The sequence below is a fragment of the Homo sapiens genome, chromosome 6, assembly GCF_000001405.40.
Source record: "Homo sapiens chromosome 6, GRCh38.p14 Primary Assembly".
Lineage (NCBI taxonomy): Eukaryota > Metazoa > Chordata > Mammalia > Primates > Hominidae > Homo > Homo sapiens.
This window is the reverse complement of record NC_000006.12, coordinates 116748745-116766082: the sequence shown is the minus strand read 5'-3', so window position 1 is coordinate 116766082 and position 17338 is coordinate 116748745. Positions and strand designations below refer to the sequence as shown.

The 17338-nt window shown below is 37.3% G+C and overlaps 1 protein-coding gene across 1 annotated transcript, besides 2 other annotated features; it reads left to right on the top strand.

The window, feature by feature from the left end:
• The first annotated feature begins 363 nt into the window (after positions 1–363).
• Positions 364–13886, top strand: FAM162B (family with sequence similarity 162 member B). Its single transcript, NM_001085480.3, has 4 exons — positions 364–678; positions 828–936; positions 3998–4106; positions 13388–13886. Exons 1-4 carry the CDS (start codon positions 507–509, stop codon positions 13484–13486), a joined length of 489 nt encoding a protein of 162 aa, NP_001078949.1. The 5' UTR covers positions 364–506; the 3' UTR covers positions 13487–13886.
• Positions 829–1343: an enhancer, noted in NCBI's record as "H3K4me1 hESC enhancer chr6:117085903-117086417 (GRCh37/hg19 assembly coordinates)". NCBI's record gives its function as "activates a minimal SCP1, AML or CMV promoter by ChIP-STARR-seq in primed H9 embryonic stem cells {active_cell/tissue: H9 hESC(primed)}" and the evidence as "EXISTENCE:reporter gene assay evidence [ECO:0000049][PMID:30033119]".
• Positions 12915–13084: an enhancer, noted in NCBI's record as "experimental_88226 CRE fragment used in MPRA reporter constructs". NCBI's record gives its function as "activates a minimal promoter by MPRAs in K562 erythroleukemia cells, with activity observed for both the introgressed and non-introgressed 6:117074247 variant alleles {active_cell/tissue: K562}" and the evidence as "EXISTENCE:reporter gene assay evidence [ECO:0000049][PMID:34662402]".
• Positions 13887–17338: the final 3452 nt, after the last annotated feature.

Sequence of the window (17338 nt, the reverse complement as noted above, 5' to 3'; positions counted from 1 at the left end):
GGGAGACGATGAGGTGAGGAGCTAACTTCAAGAAATCTCATCCAGAAGTTAGTGGAGTGCCCTTAACACTTAATTGGGAAATGTCTTCAGTTTCCTGCACTTGAAGGATTGTTGTCTCTTCCTGGAAGAGAGGATTTAGATTTATTCTCCTGGGGAACAAACGATGGAATCAAAGGCTAAAAGCCTGGCGGGAATACATTTCTACTCAATACAAAGAATTTAAAAGGAGCTACACGCACTGCCTCAGGCGGTGGTGAGCCTGTTTCAAACAGAGGCAGGCTGCTTCCTGAGGAACCAGCCCCTCGGGGCTTGACGCCCTGATCCCGGGTCGCTGGCCGGGGGCGGAGACGGGGATAGCGAGCTGAGTGTGCGAGCGCCAGGGGTTCCAGCTGCACGTCCCAGGCTCTCCAGCGCGCGGCAGGCCGGGGCGGGACGAGGAGAGCTGCGGGGACAACGCCTGTGGCTGGGTCCGGAGGTGCGGGTGCGGCGCGGGACAAGCGGGCAGCATGCTCAGGGCGGTCGGGAGCCTACTGCGCCTTGGCCGCGGGCTAACAGTCCGCTGCGGCCCCGGGGCGCCTCTCGAGGCCACGCGACGGCCCGCACCGGCTCTTCCGCCCCGGGGTCTCCCCTGCTACTCCAGCGGCGGGGCCCCCAGCAATTCTGGGCCCCAAGGTCACGGTGAGCCAGGGCTCCGACGGGGAGGTCCTGGGAGGGAGGAGGTTGCGGGAGGGCAGCGAGGGGCCGGCCCGGGAGTCGGCTTGAGGGCGCGCTGATCCTCTGTGCCGGTGCGTCAGTTCCCGCGTCCATCTGGGTTGCTTTCGCTGCAGGGGAGATTCACCGAGTCCCCACGCAGCGCAGGCCTTCGCAGTTCGACAAGAAAATCCTGCTGTGGACAGGGCGTTTCAAATCGATGGAGGAGATCCCGCCTCGGATCCCGTAAGTGTGGCGACCGCCGCGCGAAGGAGAGTCGGTCCCCGGCCGCAAGGGTGCGGGGTGACCCACCTTCCGACCGCGGCCACCTAGGAGCGAAAGCGGCCGCAGTGCCAACACTTCGCAATATCACCCACCACACACGGAGTTTACCCACACACACACCCCGCCTCCAGTGCGGTGTGTCAAGAGTCAATTAAGCTTACAGGGAGATTGCAGAAGGTGGGTGAAAACTGAGAGGTTCAGGGGACACTTCCAGCACCGCCCAGATTGCCGGTCCCCAGCAAGCTCCGAACTGGGAGGCAGTGGGGCTCTTGTGCCAAACAGGCCACGGTCCTCGCGAGCATCCGGATGGCTGCCGGGACGCCAGACCGCAATCCAGGCTTTGGCCGGGGGCGTCCCCCTACCCCACCCAAGGAAGGGGTTCTCTGATCTTGGCTTGCGGGGCGGCTGTGGCGGGGGGGTCTCTGGAAAAAAGACGCATCCATGCGGCCTCCTCTTCTGGGGCAGGAGACGCCTGGCGGACGTGTTTCTGCAGCCCTCTAGGCTCCGGGTTTACTCAGGGTGGGACGCGCGGGAGTGTCAGCACTGTGGGCCTCTTCAGCATGCTAAACCCACCAAGACAGATGATAAAACTCAAACTAATAACTCCCCCTCTAAGGTAATGTAACCTGTAAAATAAATGCTAATAATAAGTAAATGTAACCTGTAAAAAAATCTTTCCAAAGTTTCTGTTTCTGCCAAGCCCAAAAACCTTCGCAGCATTTTTACAAGGGATTGGGTAAAAAAGAGAGGGACGGAAACTAAAAATAAAATCAATCTACTACTTTTTAAGTTTATCTTTTAAAAATAAAAGACTAAAACCATAACGTGAAAGAAGGATTTTAGATATTCTGTATATTTGTACAATGTAATGAATGCCTATTAGAATGGATAATGGAAACTGGGCCTATATTTCTGTTTTTCACATGGTGCCTGCCATGTTATTGTTTATAAACAATTGCAGTTTATCAGTTACCAAAGCATCTCAGATAGCTAGGGGGTGGGGTGGGAGAACATGGCAGGAAATGTACACTCAGTAATGAATTCTGAAGCATTTTCGTTCTTTTATTGGAGCAAGTCACCAAATGAGAAATGGACATGGAATTTGAAATAACACTGCATTTGAATCCGTTTTCAGTATTTATTCAACTACAGAGGCACTTTCTAAGATTATTTTTCCTCGAGATCTATAGACTCCAAACTACAGACTTAGCTGAAAGCAAAAGTTAGCCTCAGAAAAGTCTTTATCATCATAAGCTCTGGTTATCAAATTTTAATTGATGCCTGAAAATTTAATACTATAAATGCCAAAGAAGTAAAAAAAAAAAAAAAAATTAAAATAAGTAAGCCACCACCCTCAATTGGTTTGAATTTTTATTTCTAGTGGCCTAACCAAGTAATCAAGAGTGTAAAGAACCAACATTATTGCATATTGTTTGTCAAGAAAACCTATGCCCAGTATTGCATTTAACATAGCTGTATTTGTGAACAGACTCATTTTACAGAAATAATGTAATTTCCCCAAGATCATAGTCAAAAGATGTATTATAAACAGGAGCATTTCACTAAGAACAGGATGCCTATAAAAAGCATTGCAGTTTTGCATTGGAAACATAAAAGTATTTGAGTATTTTTCATTTTATTATTTTTCTATAACTTTTTAAGCATTACTATTTAAGAGAGATATTCCTGTTAAGCTAAGTGTCACACTTACAATGTAAACAGCTTTTACCTTTTAATGGACATATAATGAACAAGTGACCTATAATTTTTGTATCATACACTAATTGTGTTTAATAATAACTGTACTTTGTCTTGTTTTTCTCAGTGCTAAACTAATTTGTTATAATAGATTAAAGCCAAATGGCTGGGTAAAAAAGATCAGAGCTTCTAGGTTCCATCTGGAACAAAAGTTAGCAGCAAATATAATCTAATAATTTCTCCATACTCACTAATTGGACCTGTTTGCAACTAACATCTTAAAACTTACATCACTCTGCCTAAAATCTAAAGAAAATAGGCTAGATAGGAGTTTTCTGTAGTCTTTTAACCAGTGGAAAATTTAAAAAGTTTTCTGTTTTTAAGAGAAAATGCAACTTTGTCTTTCTGGATTTTTTTTTTCAATGTAACTACACTCTATTTAAACTGCACATAGAGAGGAAAGAATACCAATGAATATATTATAATGAATGAAATTCTTTAAATATGCATATTTATAATCTGCCACTTCATATCATTGAAAATTGTTAAAGTTTATTTCAACGTAAAAGTCCCACAGGCATGATGCCTTTTGTATTACTACTTTGTAAGTAGTATTATTAAAATCTTGGACAACATGCATAAAACTATGAATGAATATTTAGAATTTAAGTATATCAAATTTCAGTATAATAATAACATTAAAATGAAGGTCTCTTTTATCTTTTTCCTCGGCAAATTATTGTGATTTTGATCACGTTTAACAAAAAATTATTGCAAAAGCCATGAAGGAAACATTTTTCTAACAGACATTCTCACAAGCTGGATAATAGTGTGTCTTTTGGGGGTAGCATGTGAAGGGACAAGAGATTGGGAGGCGAGTGAAAAAAACAAAATGATAAAAATGAGTTTTAAAAAAAAAACTGTTCAAATGGAAAACAAAGCCTACTTTACAAAGAGGCTAAATAATTGCAAGTCATCAACATACATATGCTTTAACTCTTCCTTTACCCCACTTAGTGAATAAAAACAATGGAGAGTCAAGTTAGCATCTCTAGTAGTTATATTTTGAGGAATTAGAAACTAATATTCTATACAGTGGTTTCATAATGGCTAACATTAATTTAAGATCTGAATAAATACTTGTTAATTTGAAATTGGTAAAAATAACTAGCTAGCATTTCAAAGTCTTTCACATGAAAATGTCACCAAATGCAGTTTGCATTCAGGGAATTTTTTGGAATGTTTACATGGCAAATTATCTATCATGCCTGTCAGAAAACCATATTACTTTTACATATTTAACAAAATACACATCTTTGTTTAGGCCAGAAATGATAGACACCGCAAGAAACAAAGCTCGAGTGAAAGCTTGTTACATAATGATTGGACTCACAATTATCGCCTGCTTTGCTGTGATAGTGTCAGCCAAAAGGGTGAGTATCTCCTTAAAAGGGCAAGTCAGTTAAAAGGGTAAGTACCTCTTTTTAAGTACCTCCCTAAAAGAGTATCTCACCAAAAGGGTGAGTACCTCCTTAGTCAGCCCAAAGGGTGAATTTTAAGAAATGTCATGGACATTGTTCTCGATTCAGGATTACTGCTGTTTTTTAATATAAGAACAATTTTGTCTTTGAGACTTGAAGTCATATATATATATATGTGTGTGTGTGTGTGTGTGTATATATAAGTATATATACAAGTATATATATAAGTATTTATATATGTATATATGTATATATAAGTATATATATAAGTATATATATAAGTGTATATATATGTATATATATGTGTATATATATATATAAAAAATACTGGAGATAAATTTGTTCATGGAAATTTGAGTCAACAAATTAACACTATATGGCCAGGAGGGACAAATGCTTGTTTTAACTTATAAACAAAACAATTTACACCGTGGTTAAAATCTGCAGAAGACGGAGAACTTTGTTGTTGAAAGTTATCCAGACTAGATCATTCATTAAATCAGGAACTCAATTAGCTATTGCACAGAAGTATGAACTAGTTAGAAATGCAGAGCTTGGAAGTGATTGCCAAGGTATTCTAGTTTGTCTGGATCCTTTATGTCAGCCCTTTCCTTGCCTTTCTCAATGTATGGTTTCTGTTTAATACCTCTAGTGAGAAATTAAGAGCTGACTACCCTCTAATTTTGTTTTCTGCCTCCCAAAATCCTTCCATCTACTGGTCACTTTTTACCACAAAGAGCAGCCCCACAAGTATTTTGACATTTCTAACACATACCTATGAGTATTTGCTTCTTCAGTTTTAACCACTCTAACAACTTCCTTCTACCTTTGAGCTGTCCTCTCAATACACTCCAGTTTTAACAGTGCCCCTCCTCATCGTGGCACCTGCAACTGAAGCCATTAGAGCTGGATTATAACATTTTTGGTTGTGAACACTGGGTTTCAATAGTGCATACGTATCATTCAGAATAGTTTGCTTGGCTCCATACATCCTCACTCTCTGGGCGTATTTAGCTAATTACCATTCTGCCCAATTCTGTGATTCTGTCCTTTACTCCTCAGGTGCCCAAGTGTGTCTGAGCCCACTAACTTCACACAGGGATTAGGACTTACAAGCCTACTGATATTATATAAATGTCCTTTCATTCCTATTAGCATGGAAAAAATCTATGCTTTGAAATTGTTCTCACCAAATGAGAAATTTTGAAATGTTTACTGGACTGAACACTCAAGCATGTAAATAAATAACTTTGATAATATTTTGTTTTTAACCTAACGTTAAATGACTGCCTGCCAAATTGATGATTCTCTAGTTTCTAGGAATATTTTGATGATTAGTGTATTGCCTCATCTACATCAAAAAGATAAACATTAATTAGACAATTTGTTTACTTAGAATCACCCTCTAATAATTTATTTATAATGGCACTTTAATGTTTTTAAATCATAATCACAAGTTTCCAAATGAGACATTAAGACCAATTAAACTTAATATATATTTTATCAGCAAGTTGGCATATTAGAGATCTACTGATGTCATCATTTTATTTTCAACACATATGATTTGAAGGAAAGGTTTTTTCATTTCCTGTTAAAATTCCATATTTCAAATATAATTCTATTATAAATCAATAGCCAGGGATTTTCTCTGTGTGAATCTGACACAAAAAGTAGCAACTGAGAATTGAGTTTTATGTGTAGCACCAGTTATTGCTCTGTTTCCTCTTCTCCAAAAGTGTGATAGCAAACACTGATTTTAAATCATTAATACACTAAATACTTTTGAGCACCTGAGACATGCCAGGCACTCTGCATGTAGTTATTAGAATATCATGGAATTAAAAGACAGGTATTTTGTAGTAGGGAAAATGGAGAGTGATCAAGTAAACACATAAACTAAAAAGATCTGAGGAATTCTTAGTGCAATGAAGGAAAGGAACAGGATGATAAAATAGTAACACCCCAGGAGAGGCCATTTTTGATGGAGTGGTCAGGGACGTCCTCTCTGAGGAGGATGAGAATAAGCTAGCCATGAGAAGACCGGGGGAAGGAAAGAACAGCATGTGCAAAGCTTAGAGGTGAGAAAGGGTCTGGTGTGTTAAGAAACAAAAAGGAGCTAGTGTGGATGGAGTATAATGAGCAAAGAGAAGATGGTATGAGACAGGGAGAGTCCAGATAGTGTCAGGCCTATGGATCACTGCAAATAGTTCAGGTTTTTAAAAATACATTGGGGATCCAGTGTAGAGTTTTAAGCAAGATAGTGACAAGATTTAAAAATTTTCACTCTCCTCTTTATTCAAAACCCAGTGAAAATAAAGATCAGGCCGGGCGCGGTGGCTCACGCCTGTAATCCCAGCACTTTGGGAGGCCGAGGCGGGCGGATCACAAGGTCAGGAAATCGAGATCATCCTGGCTAACACGGTGAAGCTCCGTCACTACTAAAAAAAAAAATACAAAAAAATTAGCCAGGCGTGGTGGCGGGCGCCTGCAGTCCCAGCTACTCGGGAGGCTACGCAGGAGAATGGCGTGAACCCAGGAGGTGGAGCTTGCAGTGATCCGAGATTGTGCCACTGCACTCCAGCCTGGGCGACAGAGACTCTGTCTCAAAAAATAAAAAAAAAAAAAAAAAGAAAGAAAGATTAGAAATAAGGATCCTACTTAAAATAGCAACAAACAAAAAAGGTAAGGCACGTAAGAATGAAATTAAAAATCATGCAATATCTATATAAAGGCAACTTTTAAACACTACCAGTGGCCACAAGAGAAGGTATAACCTAAGAAATTTTTATTTGGAATAGGAAGACTTGACATTTTAAAGAGAGCGAACTTCTCTAAGTCTATAAAGTTGACATGATTGCAATAAAAATAGCAATAGGATTTGTTTTGGAAGTAGACAAACTAAGTCTAAAATTTATATAGAAAAATAAGCAAAATACACAAGAAAATACTAAAAATAATAGTTCTAAGGGAGGACTAGCTCTAAAATATATTAAAACAAAACAACAACAATAATTAAAACTGCAGTACTGACATACAAATAGACAGGCAACTTAATAGAACTGAATTCAAATCACATAAATAACCCACTACATAGGGATTTAATATATGAAATAGTGACTCTGTATATGAGTGGAGAAAGATAAATTAGTCAAGAAATGATATTGGGACATTCCAACTATACTTTCTACATAAAATAAATTGCAGTTGGATATAAGATTTTCACATTAAATGTGAAGCCTTAAAATCACCAAAAGAATATATGAGGGAATTCTTTATAGTGGTTAGGTAGACATTTCTAAATATAGAACAAAACTGAGAAGCTATACAACAGAAAAGATAGATAAATTTAATCATATAAAGTTTAAAATTCTGCTTGGTAAAAAGTGCCATAAATAAAGTAAAAACACAAATGACAAACTAGGAAAAATACAAAATAGATCACAAACTAAGAGCTAATTTTCTTAAATTATAAGGAGCTCCACTAAATAAAACAGCAACAACCTTTTATTTTAAAAAATGGGTGAAAGATACAAAAAGGCAGAATTTGCAGAAAATAAAATGCACATGCCTCTTAAACACAGGAAAAGAAGTCTAGCCATCCAACTATTTCATGCTGTCTTTTCAGACCTTACACCTCCACAGTCCTCCCCATTGATGACCTTTCCTTCCACCTCACTGAGAGAATTGTAGCAGCCCAAGGAGCAGTTTCCAGTCTTATGACACATAATCCTGTATATTTTGCTTTTCTGCCTATTGTAAATGATTCTTGCTCCAATCTAGAAGCTCTTATTAATTGCGTGGATCCCATTCCATTTTGCCTTTTCAAGGTTTTCATTCCAGGAATTCTCAGGTTTATTTGCTCGTCATTAGTTGTTTTTCTTCTCTACTGTATCATTTTTTATCAAAATATAGAAATGTTTCTACTTCCCTCTTCAAAACCAAAAACAAAACTTCTTTTGGTATAGCTGCATTTCTCTATGGCAAACCTTTTCAGTAGACCTGTCTATATACACTGTCTCTGATTTCCTGTCTCATTCCGTCTGATCAGGCTCGTGCCTCAAACGCTCCATCAAACTGCTGTTATCAAGGTCACCAATGATACACTCATCTTCATTGACCTATCAGCATTTGACACAGTTGGTCTCCCCACCCCACCCCTTTTTTTTTTTTTTTTGGTGGAGGAGGACAGGGTCTCACTCTCACCCAGGCTGGAGTGCAGTGGCATGATCTTGGCTCCCTGCATCCTCTGCCTGCCAGGCTCAAGGGATTCTGCAGGCTCAGCCTCCTAAGTATCTGGGACCACAGGTGTCAATGACCATGCCGGGCTAATTTTTTTGTATTTTTTGTAGAAATGAGTTTTTGCCATGCCACCCAGGCTGGCCTCAAACTCCTAAACTCAAAGCGATCCTCCTGCCTTGGCCTCCCAAAGTGCTGGGATTACAGGCACGAGCCACTGCATGCATCCAATAAATTGTACTTTGTTTGTGAATGACACAAAAACATTTTCCCTAAAATTTTATTAACATGTATGACATATACCGTATTATATATTTAACATATTTTCATATAGTAACAATACAACTGAAATGCTTTATTATTATCTACAATTTTGCGATTTTATATTCATTATAATATTGTAACTGAAAATAAGACACTTATTGATACATAGATCCAGTAAAAGAAATACCTCTTTAGCTGTGATTACTAAATGGTGGTGCTAATACTTAATTTTATCCACCAACTATGCCAAAGCTTTTGTTGAAATATGCCCAGTAATTTCTTACCCTCCCTGATGTTCTTCAGCTATTTTATTCTTGCAAAATAATTGGAAGATATAGTAGTTTTGAATTTTGTGCCAAATGGATTCAAAACCCCATAAATTGTTTAGAGACTTTATTTAAGCTTACAAAATTATCCATATAAGTATTTAAAGACGCCATGTAATTTTCTGGCCAAAAAAGAAACCATTCTTATTTATTAATATCTATTCTAATGGTATTGAAATGAATGAAAACAGGCATACCTCAGAGATATTGTATGTTCAGTTCACAATAAAGTGAATATTAGAATAAACTGAGACACGCAAATTTTTTGGTTTCCCAATGCATATAAAAGTTATGTTTATAGTACACAATGAGTTGTAATCTTTTTGCTGGTGGAAGGTCTTGCTTTGATGTTGATGGCTGCTGACAGATCAGGATGGTGGTTGCTGAAGGTTGGGGTGGCTGTGGCAATTTCTTAAAATAAGATGACAATGAAGTTTGCCATATCAGTTGACTCTTTCTTTCATGAAAGATTTCCATGTAGCAGGCAATGCTGTTTGACAGCATTTTCCTCACAGTAGAACTTCTTTCAAAATTGGAGTCAGTTCTCTCAAACCCTACCACTACTTTATTAACTAAGTTTATGTAATATTCTAAATACTTTGTTCTAATTTCACCAATGTTCACAACATCTTCACCAGCAGTAGTTTCCATCTCAAGAAACCACTTTTTGCTATTTGTAAGAAGCAACTCATCTTGTGAAAGTTTTATCATGAGATTATAGCAATTCAATTTTGTTTTCAGGCTCCACTATGAATTCCAGTTCTGTTGCTATTCCACCACATCTGCAGTTACTTCCTCATACTTCCTCCACTGAAGGCTTGAACCCCTCAAAGTTATCTATGAGGATTGGAATCAGCTTCGTCCGAACTCCTATTAATATTGACCTCTTCCTATGATTCACAAATATTCTTAATGGCATCTAGAATGGTGACTCCTTTCCAGAAGGTTTTCAATTTACTTTGCTCAGATCCATCAGAGGAATCACTATCTATGGTAGCTATAGCCTTACAAAATGTGTTTCTTAAATAACAAGACTTGAAAGTTGAAATGACACCTTTTTCCATGGGCTGAAGAATGGATGTTGTGTTAGCAGTCATGAAAATATTAATCTCCTTGTAAATATCCATAAGAACTTTTGAGTGACCAGGTGCATTGTCACTGAGAAGTAATATTTTGAAAGGAATCTTTTTTTTTCTGAGAAGTAAGTCTCAACAGTGAGCTTAAAGTATTCAGAAAGCCATGTAAGCAGATATGCTGTCACCCAGGCTTCATTATTCCATTCGTGGCACAGGCAGAGTAGATTTACCATAATTCTTAAGAGCCCTAGGATTTTCAGAATGCTAATGAGTATTGGCTTCCACTTAAAGTCATCAGCTGCCAATAGCTCCTAACAAGAGAGTCAGCCTGTCTTTGAAGCTTTAAAACCAGGCATTGACTTCTCTCTATCTCTGAAAGTTCTAGATGGCATTTTCTTCCAAAATGAGGCTATTTTGTCTTCATTGAAAAACTGTATTTTAGCATAGACTTCATCAACAAAATTAGCTATAATAGATCTTCTAGATGACTTGCTGTAGCTTCTCTATTAGCACTTGCTGCTTCACCTTGCACTTTTGTTATGGAGACAGCTTCTTTCCTTCAGCCTCATGAACCAACCTCTGCTAGCTTCCAACTTGTCTTCTACTGCTTTCCCACCTCTCTCAGCCTTCACAGAACTGAAGACAGTTAGGGCCTTGCTCCATATTAGGCTTTGGCTTAAAGGAATGCTGTGGCTGGTTTGATCTTCTTTCCAGACCACTAAAACGTTTTTTATATCAGTAATAAGGCTGTTTCACTTTATTTAGGTGTTCACTGGAGTAGTACTTTTAATTTTCTTCAATAACTTTTCCTTTGCATTCACAACGTGGCACAAGAGGCCAAGCTTTTGACCTATCTTGGTTTTCAACATGCCTTTTTTCACTAAGCTTAATCATTTCTAGTTTTTTAAAGTGAGAGATGTACAACCCTTCCTTTTACTTGAACATGTAGAGGCCATTATAGGGTTATTAATTGGCCTAATTTCAATATTGTTGCATCTCAAGGAATAGGGAGGCCCAAAGAGAGGGAGAGAAATGGGAGACTGGCCAGTGGATGGAGTGGAGAATACATACAATGTTTATCAATTAAGTTAGCTGTCTTATATGGGCATACTTATGGCACCCTAAAATAAGTACAATAGTAACAACAGCAATCACTGATTACAGATTACCATAACAGATGTTATGAAAATGAAAAAGTTTGAAATATTGCAAAAATTAGCAAAATGTGACAGAGACACGAAGTGAGCACATGCTGTTGGAAAAATGGAGCCTATAGACTTGTTCCATGCAAGGTTGCCACAAACCTTCAATTTGAAAAAAACAAAAAAAGAAGAAGAAGAAAGAAAGAAAGTCACAATAAAGCAAAGCACAATAAAATGAGATGTGCCTTTATATTCTTCTGTATTATAGAACTGTCACAGGTTCCTCAAGATATCTCCAACTCCTGACATAGAGGAGGATTCTCTATTCCTCAACTCTTCTATTAAATGTTAGCAATTTTTCTTTTTAAAAAAAGATGAAATGTGTTCCTATTGCTTTCTTGACCTCAGTGGACATCGTAGTTCTTATCCTACTTTGAAGACTGTTTATTTAGACTCAGTTTGACACAACGTTTCAATGCTTGGGTGCTGATAAATCTCATTACATTTTGGGGAAGCAGTTGACAATTCTGCTTGATTAGCAAATATTTTCTTCTGCCGAATCAGTGCTGAATCAGTATCTTCCCTCCCTCAGATTCTGCTCAATCTGAGTTCAATCTACTGGAGCTGCTAAAACTATGTCTAGGTTGAGAATATCTGGATTATAAAGGAATTTGGTCTCCCTGCACTTCAAAGCCACTCCTCTACAGAAATTCTGGCACATAGTAGCCAGTCTCTCCATTCTTCAACCAAGAAAAGAATATTTTTGGCACATAGGGAAATAGTTAGTTATAAATGGATATATGAAAAACACTGGAATAGGCCAATGTGACATTTTTCACTTACCCTTTGTTGGAGAATGCAAACTAGCCATTGTCCTTCCATAAAAATCCTCAGAAGCTCTGAAGTGAGAGCATTGGGAATGAAAATCGTTTATCTTTTATGAAACGGTTTCTTCGCTTGGTTTCCGTGGTACCACACTCACGTAGGTTGTCTGTTGGCCACGTCTTCCAAGTTTACTCTGCCAGTTTCTCCTATTCTCCTGGACCTCATAACAGTGGAATCTCCCCATGGATCAGTCTTTAGTCTTTCCGTTCTCTAGCTACACTCACTCCCTTGGGGATCTTACCAAGTCTTCTGGATTTAAACACCTTCTATATTCCAAGGACTCTCAAATTTATATTTCAGCTAATGTCTTCCTTCTGCACTTCAAATTCATATAGTCAGTTGCTTACTTAACATTTCCCTTTGGATGTCTAATGGAATCTCAAACTTAACGTGTCAAAAGTTGAACTCTAGATCTTCCCCCAGACAACCCTGAGCCACCCTTTTCTGTACTGTTTTCCTCCTCTCAGTTGATGTCAACTCTATCTTTCTAGCTGCTCGTGGATAAGTCATCAGCAACCCCATTGGCTCCACTTTCAAAATACAGCCAAATTGGAGCACTCCTCAGTATCTCTCCTGAGATACCAATATACATCTATTGCCTGGTTCATTGCAATATCTTCTAAATGGTCCCACCACTGTCCCTCTTGCCTGTCTCCAATTCATTTTTCATTTTTAATAACAATGCATGTACCTTAAAGAAATTGTGGCAGATGGAGATGCAGAAAAGGTTAGCAAGTTCAGGTAAATTTGGGGAAGTAAAAAGGATAGAACTTTGTGGTGAATTCATTGTGGAAGCAGAAAAGAAAATGGAATAAAGAAGTGAAAAGGCCTGGGTTTTTTTGACTTTAGCAAGTAGGTGGGTGATGCTGCCATTTATTGAGATGTGTATGGCTAGGGAAAGACTGGTAGGCAGGGGGAACAAAATATGTCAACTCTCTATTTTGGCTATATTAAATGTGAGATGCACACTAGGTATCCTTCAATATATATTAAATGCTTATTTATTTTACTAAGGACTTTGTATGTCTCTCAGTTTGAGGACTTATAGCTTTCCTCACTTCTGAAAAAGTCTATGCTGTCATAACTTCAAATATGGCCTCTTTACCCATTCAGTCTGTTCTCTCTTCCCATTATTAACATATGTTAGAACTTCTAATTCTATTCCCTCCTGTGTATTTCTATCTCAAATACAAATTTTTCCAGTTTCCAGAGAGTCACAGTGAGATATATATACATATATGTATATATATATATATACGTGTATCTATATATATATATATATATATATTTCTTCCCCCCCACAGGCTGTAGAACGACATGAATCCTTAACAAGTTGGAACTTGGCAAAGAAAGCTAAGTGGCGTGAAGAAGCTGCATTGGCTGCACAGGCTAAAGCTAAATGATATTCTAAGTGACAAAGTGTTCACCTGAATACCATCCCTGTCATCAGCAACAGTAGAAGATGGGAAAAATAGAATATTTACCAAAATATCTGCCATGGTTTTATTTTGGTAACAAGAAGCACAATGTCTTTTTTATTTTTATTTTTTAGTAAACTTTTACTGAAGTATACCATGCATTCAAAAAGTGGACAAAACTGTATACAGTCTGATAGATATTTATGTCGTGAACACCTGTGTAACCACTGCCAAAGTGAAGATGTAGAATATTGGCAACACTTCACAGCCTCATTCCTGCCTTTTCTCAGCCATTACCTCCCAAACATAGCAGTTTTTCTGAGTTTCATCACCTTTGATTCATTTTGCCTGTTTTTGAACTTTATATAAATGGATTTATACATTATGCACTTGTGTGTGTGGATTATTTACCTGACAGTTATAAGGTTAATCCACAAATTGTGTGTACCATTAGTTCATCCATTGTCATTGCTGTATTCTGTTGTATAAACATACCACAATTTATTTTGATATTTGGCACAGTTTCTGGCCACTACATATAATGCTAAAATGAGCACATTGTATATGTCATTAAAATGAGGTTGAACTAATCATTAAGGGCTCATTAAAATCAAAACTAATTTTCAACCAAAATTTCACTGTATTTAGCAGCTGGGTAGTACCTCTGATTATTCTTTTTATAGTTTGTAACTAGGTGAAATAGGTTGAATTATTAATTCTAAAACCTATTCCTAAAATGGTAAAGTACTAAAACAGTAATTGTAACAGCAATTTTGAAAATGACAAAAATGTTAGAGAAAAAAAATGGTATACATTAATGATCGTCAAACTTGCTTAAGCCCTAAAATAACTTTTTAAAATTACATATCTCATCCCTGCACATTTTTAACTTCACATTTGTTATTTTTTAACCATAAATGTAAGTATTATAAAAGATATAACTTCTGGCATATTGTATAGTTCATGTGCTTTAAGTGTATTTTCCATCATAACCTTGAAGCCACATAATTAGCTCAATCAGTTTGTGGAGGATGTCTGCCTGTCCATTTTGAGGTACAAAGCCAGTTCTTATTGTCAAACTAATGAGCCAAATCAAACTTATACAGTCACAGATCATTTAATGATGGGGATACATTCTGAGAAATGCATTGTTAGGTGATTTTATCATTGTACAAACATGACAGAGTATACTTACATAAACCTAGATAGTATATATATTTTTATTTATATGTATTTTTCATATGGAAAACCAAACGTCCCAGCACCATTACTGAATTATCAGTCATGTCCCCTACTTGATCTGCAGTGCCAATACCAAGTGCCATATATCAGACTTCTATGTATGCTCCCTATGACCTTGGGGACCACTGTTGTATATGTGGTTCATTCATCTTACACCAAAATGTCATTATGTGGCACGTAACTATACTTTTTGTTAGAAAAAGGCTTACTTTGATTTGAAAATGAAAATGTTAATATATATTCCTGTGACAATAATCTCATTTTTGAATCCTAACTCTTAGATAGAGAAGGCATGAAGCATTGTTATGAGTCTGTGTCTTGGATGAACCAAGGCACTGCTGCTTTATTTTTTTTTTAATTTGTAAATTTATACACAATAGATGTACATAAATTCAGGGTACATGAGATAATTTGATATATTCTTATAAGGTGTAAAGATAAAATCAGTGTACTTATCTGTCACCTTAAATATTTGTCTTTATGCTAGAACCATTTGAATGATTCTCTTCTAGCTATTTTGAAATATACAATAGATCACTGTAAACTATAGTCACCCTACTGATCTATCTAACACTAGATCTTACTTCTTCTACCAAACCATATGTTTGTACCTGTTAATCAACTTATCTTCATTGCCCTCTCTCCACCACTCTCTCTGGCCTCTGGTAACCACCTGTCTATGCTCTGTCTTCGTGAGACCCACTGTGGCACTGGCTGCTTTCACATTTTGCACAGTGACTCCCTTTGTTTTGCTCTCATGGAACTCCCTCTCTGGAGCTATTAATTCTAAAATTATTCTTTGTCATCCAGAAGGTTTTTGTATCACAAAGCACAGCATGAGTAAGGTTCAGAATGAGAGTGAAGTGCTCTCTTTTTGCACAATAGTGTAAGGTTGGTTATGAGGAGAGGTGAGAAAGGAGAACCGTCAGACCACATTCTTGGGCATATACATTGTAGGAGGGAGTATATATGGGGTTAAAATAACTGGAAATCAATTATCTTAAAATTATACTACTCTTTAAAAGTCTTTTTATACCTTGAGGATTCCTGGAATATTCTAAATATTGAGATACTCAGAGAGAATATCTATAAGAATGAATATGATGATTTCCATTTCTGGTTACATAGAAGATGAGATGTCCAGAGAAAGTCTTCTAGTATTGGACTAAATAATCTGGACAAAATATTTTTTTAAACATCTTTTAAAATACTTGGTTAAACTGTTGGGAAAAGAAGGAAGATCCTTGTCATAGATAGTCATAGATAACAAAGTAAAAATCTAGAGTGTTAATAAGCATATCTGATGCTGCTATTTGCCATGGGCATATCCAGTTATCCTAAGTGGTTATATGCTGGAGAGAATAGTCAAAAACATGAGACCTGTAAAGGCTGAGAGAACATCAACACAAAGGCAGAATCCCAGAAAGGTTACACTATCCATATGGTTGAACTGGAGTTTGGTAGTGATGGGGTGCACATATCAGAGTTCTACCAGACAAATGGAACAATAGGAGATATAATGTCCTATTTCTCTGGTAGAATATATATCATATTCATCCTTATAAATATTCTCTTTGAGCTGTTCAATAATATTTAGAAATTTCAGGAATCTTGAAGGTGTAAAAAGACTTTTAAGGAGTAGCATATTTTTAAGATAATTGAAAGTGTGTGTATACTTACATGTACATATGTATGTATATGTAAAAGATAGAAAGATGATAGATAGATAGATAGATAGATAGATAGATAGACAGACAGACAGATAGATTATAGGAATTAGCTTACCTGATTGCAGGGGCTGGCAAATCAGAAACCTGTAGGGCAGGCCAGCAGGCTGAGAATTCTCTGGCAGAAGCTGAAGCTACAGTCCAAAGGCAACTTTTTTTCTTCCTCAGGGAAACCTCAGTTTTATTATTAAGGCCTTTCAACTGATTGGATGACACCTACCCAGATTATCAAAGATACCTCCTTTAATTAGACTTATCTGACTATAGATGCTTACCCAACTACAGAATACTTTCACAGCAACATTTAGATTCATGTTTAATTGGAAACTGGGTACGATAGCCTAGCCAAATTTACACATAAAACCAGTCATCACAGTGCTCCAGAGAGAGAGAGACAAAGAGAGGAGAAATTTACTTATCATCTTGAGATCTAAATGAACAGTAAGAGAGACAGAGTAAAAAAGAGAGAGAAACCTATCATGTTAATATCTTAAAAAAAGAAAAAATAGAGGAAAAAAATCTTTAAGAACACTTAACCATGTTTGTTATTACATGTTTTTTGAGACCAGATTTTATGCCATCTGTGTTAACCCCCCCACATAAGTCTACATCAAGTATTTGGTTAAAAGTGCTCACAGCAGAATTTACTGAGGATTTAATGGAAGTGTTCTAAAACTGGATTGTTGTAATGCACAACTGCACAAGTGGGTAAATTTACAAAGAAAAATGTACACATAAAATGGGTGAACTTTATGGTATATAAAAATTACAGTGGTATATAGAAATTATATGAAAATAAAACTGCTTTAAAAAGTGACCTGAACAACATACTATGTTTCCAAGGCTGGGATGTGGTAGGTATTCTTAT